The sequence below is a fragment of the Homo sapiens genome, chromosome 6 (genome assembly GCF_000001405.40).
Source record: "Homo sapiens chromosome 6, GRCh38.p14 Primary Assembly".
Taxonomy (NCBI): Eukaryota; Metazoa; Chordata; class Mammalia; order Primates; family Hominidae; genus Homo; species Homo sapiens.
Genome location: NC_000006.12, coordinates 164,520,873 through 164,528,267, shown reverse-complemented (window position 1 = coordinate 164,528,267; position 7,395 = coordinate 164,520,873). Strand labels below are relative to the sequence as shown.

Here is a 7,395-nt window from a genome sequence, read left to right as displayed (position 1 = left end):
ACCTTGAGTTTTTTAGTGAAACTGATTTGGGGCTTCTGATTTCTAGAACTGCAAGGTAATTAATTTGTGTTTTAGGCCAAAACATTTGTGATAATTTGTTAAAGCAACAATAACAAACTGATACAACATATTTGATGAAAGTCATATTTTCCGTGAGACCTTTTGTGACCAATTCTGTTAAAATTATAAGTGATCCTTCTTAACTTTATTCACTTACTTCCATGTGTTAATTTTGTTCTATAATAAGTATTAACATTGATATTTTGTTTATTTTCTTTCTCTCCCTTCCAAGTAGAGTCTAAACTCCATGAGAGAAGAAATGCTGACTTTTTGGTTCACTGCCATTTTGCCAACACCTAGAATAGCACCACCCTGATGTCCATGCTCAGGACATGGTTCTATCAATGGTGAACATGGATGGCAATGGACACTGTGGATGGCTAGCCCATCAGGTGAAGAAGCATTTCATAACCTTCATCTGTGCCACTCCTCTATTTGTCACCACTGGTTCCTTTGTGGCTCTGAAATCTCCTGTCCATATCTTTACTATGACAATTGCACATTGTTTTTTTTTTTTTTTGTTTTTTTTTTTGAGACGGAGTCTCGCTCTGTCGCCCAGGCTGGAGTGCAGTGGCGTGATCTCGGCTCACTGCAAGCTCCGCCTCCCGGGTTCACGCCATTCTCCTGCCTCAGCCTCCCGAGTAGCTGGGACTACAGGCGCCCGCTACCACGCCCGGCTAATTTTTTGTATTTTTAGTAGAGACGGGGTTTCACCGTGTTAGCCAGGATGGTCTCGATCTCCTGACCTCGTGATCCGCCCGCCTCGGCCTCCCAAAGTGCTGGGATTACAGGCGTGAGCCACCGCGCCCGGCTGCACATTGTTTTATATTTAGTTATTTATGTTCACATTGAGCCAGAGGAGCAGGGCCATCCTTATCTTTGTATTACACCTCCAAGCACAATGCCAGACATGCAGTAGTGTCTCCAAATCTGACCAACTGGTGCAAAATCAACACCTGTAGCATATGTACTGTATTAGTCTGCTTTCATGCTGCTAGTAAAAACATACCTGACCCTGGGTAATTTATAAAGGAAGGAAGTTTAATTCACTCACAGTTCTGCATGGCTGGGGAGGCCTCAGCAAACATAATTATGGAGGAAAGGGAAGCAAACACGTCCTTCTTCACGCGGGAGCAGGAAAAAGAAGTGCCAAGCAAAGAGGGAGAAGCCCCTTATAAAACCATCATATTTTGTGAGAACTCACTCACTATCACAAGAACAGCAGCATGGGTGTATGTGTCCCCATGATTTCAATTACCTCTGACCAGGTCCCTCCCATGACATGTGGGGATTATGGGCGCTACAATTTAAGATGTGATTTGGGTGGGGACACAAAGCCTAATCATATAATTTCATCCCTGACCTTTCCCAAATCTCATGCCTTCATATTGCTAAACATAATCATGCCTTCCCAACAGTCTCCCAAAGTCTTAACTGATTCTAGCATTAAACCAAAAGTACAAGTCCAAAGTCCAATCAGAGACAAGGCAAATCCCTTTTGACTGTCAGCCTGTAAAATCAAAAGCAAGTTACTTACCTCCTAGATACAATGGAAGTACAGGCATTGGGTAAATACTCCCACTCCAAATGGGAGACAGTGGCCAAAGTAAAGGGGTTACAGGCACCATGGAAGTCCAAAATCCAGTGGGGCAGTCAAATATTGAAGCTCCAAAATGATCTCCTTTGACACCATGTCTCACATCCAAGTCATGCTGATGCAAGATGTGGGCTCCCATGGCCTTGGGCAGCTCCATCTCTGTGGCTTTGCAGGGTACAACCCCACTCCTGGGTGTCTTCATGGGCTGGCATTGAGTCCCTGAGGTTTTGCCAGGTGCATGGTGTAAACTGTCAGTGGATCTACCATTCTGGAGCCTGGAGGAAGGTGGCCCTCTTCTCACAGCTCCACTAGGCTGTGCACCAGTGGGGACTCTGTGTGGGGGCTCCAACCCACATTTCCCTTCCACACTGCCCTAGCAAAGGTTTTCCATGAGGGCTCCAGCCCTGTAGCAAACTTCTGCCTGGACATCCAGGCATTTCCATACATCCTCTGAAATCTAGGTGGAGGTTCCTTAACCTAAATTCTAGACTTCTTTGCACCCACAGGCTCAACACTACATGGAAGCTGTGAAGGCTCAAGGCTTGCACTCTCTGAAGACATGGCCCGAGCTGTACCTTGGCCCTTTTTAGCCATGGCTGGAATGCAGGGGACCAAGTCCTGAGACTGCACAAAGCAGCAAGGCCCTGGGCCCACTCAACAAAACCATATTTTGCTTCTCAGGCCTCTAGGCTTGTGATGGGAGGGGCTTCTATGAAAACCACTGACAGGCCCTGGATACATTTTCCCCATTGTCTTGGTGATTAACATTTGGCTCCCCATTACTTAGACAAGTTTATGCTGTTGAGTTGAATTTCTCCTCAGAAAATTTTTTTTCTATTGCATCAGGCTGCAAATGTTCTGAACTTTTATGCTCTGCTTCTCTTTCAAACATAAGTTCCAATTCCAAACCATCTCTTTGTGAATACGTAAAACTGCATGCTTTTAACAAGACCCAAGTCATCTCTTGAATGCTTTGCTGCTTAGAAATTTCTTCTGCCAGATACCCTAAATCATGTCTCTCAATTTCAAAGTTCCACAGATCTCTAGGGCAGAGGCAAAATGCCATCAGTCTCTTTGCTAGAACATAGCAAGTGTCACCTTTATTACAGTTCCCAACAAATTCCTCACCTCCATCTGAGACCATCTCAGCCCGGACTTCATTTTCCATATCACTATCAGCATTTTGGTCAAAGCCATTCAACAAGTCTCTAGGAAGTTGCAAACTTTCCCACACCTTCGTGTCTTCTGAGCCCTCCAAGTCTCTAGGAAGTTCCCAACTTTGCCACATTTTCCTATCTTCTTCTGAGCTCTCCAAAGTGTTCCAACCTCTGCCTGTCACCCAGTTCCAAAGTTGCTTACACCTTACACATTTTTGAGTATATTTAGAGCAGCACCCCACTACCCAGTACCAATTTAACTGTATTAGTCCATTCTCATACTGCTAATAAACACATGCCCAAGACTGTGTAATTTATAAAGGAAACATGTTTAATTGACTCACAGTTCCACATGCCTGGAGAGGCCTCAGGAAACTTACCATCATGGCAGAATGGGAAGCAAACACATCTTTCTTCACATGGCGGCAGGAAGAAGTGCCGAGCCAACAGAGAAAAGCCTCCTATAAAACCATGAAATCTCATGAGAACTCACTATCACAAGAACAGCAGCATAGAGGTAACCACCCCCATGATTCAATTACCTGCTACCAGGTCCCTCCCACAACATGTGGGGATTGTGGAAACTACATTTCAAGATGAGATTTGGGTGGGGACACAACAAAAACTTATCACATACATAAAAGGTAGTGAAGTCGACTGCATTCTAAGATTTCCCCACCTTGGAAATTGAGTCCACATTCTACCAATTTCTAGCCATAATATATTAGACAACTCACTAAACCTTTCTGGGCCTAACTTGCATTAACTATAAAATTTAAACTATCACAGAGTTATTGTAAGTTTCAGGTAAATTAATATGTGTGCTCTTTCTCTGTTAGCTAGAAAGCACTGTAAACTTATAAGCTTATAATATAATATGCAAGAATCAAATAGGAAATAATTTGGTGGCTAATGGTGTATATCTCCTTTTTATAGAAACATTTATAACTTCTTAGTCAATCACACTTTCTACCACGGCCTTCATTTTCACCTACAAATTGACAGTGATCAAATCCAGATCTTCATCCCTGAGTTTTCTCTTAGGTTTGGGAATAGACATTCATTTGTCACTAAATGGAGTTGTGGAAGTTGGCCTCCTAAACTGATTCATTCTCTTGCACTGAATGGAGTTGTGGAAGTTGGCATGGCTAAAATTTTCCCATTCACATCTGTCAGTTCAACATGCTATTGGACATATATTTATTGTGTGATTCCAATGTACTACAGACTCTGCTGTGGGCATTAAAGTATTCTATCAGCAGAATGTAATGGTCCTTTTTACTTTGAAGGATCACTCCAATTGCATTGTGCAGGGCAGATGTAAAGACCAAGCCCAAGGCCTGAAGATAAATTAAGTTGCCCTTAGAGCAATCTAAACAAGGTATATTATCCCTCTCACTAAGGACATTGATACTATGGTTTTAGTGGCATTAACAGGACTTGAGAAACTCTGAGAAAATAAAATATATCTATTTAATGTTTGGTACTATAGGTGAGGCAAGAAGTGGAATTAAAAACCATTCACAGGAATCTAGCCTGAGTTTTTAGATGGTTAGTGATAGTAACTATGACAGAAAATGCAAGAGAATGAATCAGTTTAGGAGGAGGATTATTACTTTAATATATGACAAGGTATTTTGGCAGAATGACTCTAGGTATCTCAGGAACATGTAGAACAATCCAGTGATGTTTGGGCTGTGGATAAATAACAGGGCTTTTTAATTTTTTCTGAGGCACTACTGAGCTAACTTGTATTAGCAAGTTCTTAGTTTTGATGAGCAGAGTAGACATTTCCCTCTATATCAACACATTTAAACACCTAAGTTTTGGAGAATAAAACTGAAGAAGTGACCTTATCCTCTTGAATGATTTATTAATATACGTTTAGTGCCCAGTGGCAGATTTTCATCTTTCTAGTTAATGAAGAAACTTAAGCATTCACAGTCCCAAAGGGCCTTTCTAACAACTCTGATAAGCACTAAAATAACTCTTCTCCATTAAACATTGCAAATAGAACCATCACAACACATCATAATGAAAAAGTATGTCATATATTGATTTTCTTGCTACCACTGGATCTTCATTAACACACATGGTGGATACTTTTTCTGAAATCTCATGCCATTTTCCTAGGCTAAGTGCATTTTGGAGAAGAGCTATGACAGATCTGATGTGACAAGTGCTATTTTGCAATTATTGTGTGTCTCAGACACTGACATCCTCTAATTCACACTCATGACATTCTTGTGCATGTAGGATTATTAGCAATTATTTTTTTCAGATGAGAAAATTGGATCAGTGAGTGAACTGACAATCAAAGTAGCCCACAGTCTTAAGTTCAAATCTAGGCTTCAGCAAGTTATTTAATCTCTTTGTGCCTCAATTTACTCATTAATAAACAAGACTACCTACATAGGAATATTTTTAAAATTAAATAGCTAATGTTTTTCATTAGTACTTAGGGCTGGATTTTTAATGAGTGCTGGTCACCTCCTCTACCACCACTTACACTATGCTGTCTTTGTCAACTCAAACCTGAGTGTAATGCATGTAAAGAATTCTTTGCATGCTTCTCACAGCACCACATATCCTAAAGTCTATAATGTTTTGGGGGGTGTAAGGCAATGCTCAAGATAAAAATAATTGCAACAAAAGCAAAAATTGACAATGGGATCTAATTAAACTTAAGAGCTTCTGCATAGCAAAAGAAACTGTCATCAAAGTGAACCAACGACCTACAGAATGAGAGAAAATGTTTGCAATCTATCCATCTGACAAAGGTCTAATATCCAGAATCTGCAAGGAACTTAAACAAATTTACAAGAAAAAAAAAAAAACCTCATTAAAAAGTAGGCAAAGGACATGAACAGACACTTCTCAAAAGAAGACATTTATGTGGCCAAGAAAAATATAATAAAAAGTTCAACATTACCGATCATTAGAGAAATGCAAACCAAAACCACAATGAGATAACATCTCACACCAGTCACATGGTGATTATCAAAGTCAAGAAACAACAGATGTTAGTGAGGGTGTGGAGAAATAGGAATGCTTTTACACTATTGGTGGAAATGTATATTAGTTCAACCATGGTGGAAGATAGTGTAACATTTCTTCAAATACTTGGAACCAGAAATATCATTTGACCCAGCAATCCCATCACTGGGTATATAGCCAACGGAATATAAATCATTCTATTTTAAAGATACATGCATGCATATGTTCATTGCAGAACTATTCACAATAGCAAAGACATGAAATCAACCCAAATGCCCATCAGTGATAGACTGGATAAAGAAAATGTGGTAAATACATACCATGGAATATATTTACCATGGAATATAGTATGCAGCCATAAAAAGGAATGATATCATGTCCTTGCAGGGACATGAATGTAGCTGGAAGCCATTATCCTCAGCAAATTAACACAGGAACAGAAAACCAGACAACGCATGTTCTCACTTATGAGTGGCAGCTGAATGATGAGAACCCATGGACACAGGGAGGGCAACAAACCACACTGGGGCCTGTGGGGGGTGTGTGGGGAGGGAGCACATCAGGATAAATAGCTAATGCCTGCCGGGCTTAATACCTAGGTGTGGATTGATAGGTGCAGCAAACCACCATGGCACACGTCTACCTATGTAACAAAACTGCATGTCCTGCACATGTATCCCGGAATTTAAAATAAAATAAAATAAAATTTTAGAAAGAAAGGGAACCTTAAAGCAATCTTAGTTTAGATGACTTGGTAGGCTCACATATCTGCTACTTCTAGCCCATATATTTGCTTAATGTGCCAAAGAAAGCTCTTTGATGCACTAAAACAAAAGTCTATTTGTGGATGACAACTACCTAGATGACACTATGATGAGGAACTCAATTTGGGGGGATCCAAAACATATACTCCTACTGTCTTCAAACAATAATCACTTGATTGCCACAACATGCTTGTTGGGTAAACCAGCATTGGCAGAAATGCCTAAATGAGCGTCTTAGTCCATTCTTGCAAAGCTAGAAGGAAATACCCGCAAATGGGTGTTATTAGTCTGTTTTCATGCTGCTGATAAAGACATACTGAGACTGGATAATTTATACAGAAAAAACGGTTTCATGGACTTACAGTTCTGTGTAGCTGGGGAGGCCTCACAAACATGGCAGAAGGTAAGGAGGAGCAAGTCATGTCTTATATGAACGGCAGCAGGCAAAAAGAGAGTTCATGCAGGGAAACTCCCCGTTCTAGAACCATCAGATCTCTAGAGACTTAATCACTGTTATGAGAACAGGATGGGAAAAACCCGCCCCCGTGATTCAATTACCTCCCAATGGTTTCCTCCCATGGCCCATGGGAATTGTGGGGGTTACAATTCAAGATGAGATTTGGCTGGGGACACAGCCAAAAAATATCAATGGGTAATTTATAAAGAAAACTGGTATAATTGGCTAACAGTTCTGCAGGCTTTACAGGAAGCATGGTGCTGGCATCTGCTTGGTTTCTGGGAGGCCTCAGAAAACTTACAATCATGGCAGAAGGAGAAGGAGGAACAGGCACATCATATGGCAAAAGCAGAAGTAAGCAAG

At 40.8% G+C, this 7,395-nt stretch overlaps 1 long non-coding RNA gene across 2 annotated transcripts in view; it reads right to left on the bottom strand.

Annotated features, from left to right (window-relative positions):
- Window positions 1-565: 565 nt before the first annotated feature.
- LOC107986667 (uncharacterized) overlaps window positions 566-7,395 on the bottom strand; it is a 90,129-nt gene continuing 83,299 nt past the window's right edge. For both annotated transcript variants that reach the window (XR_001744460.3, XR_001744458.2), the window contains exon 3: window positions 566-3,275. This is a non-coding gene — a long non-coding RNA (uncharacterized LOC107986667). The remainder of the gene's footprint in view (window positions 3,276-7,395) is intronic.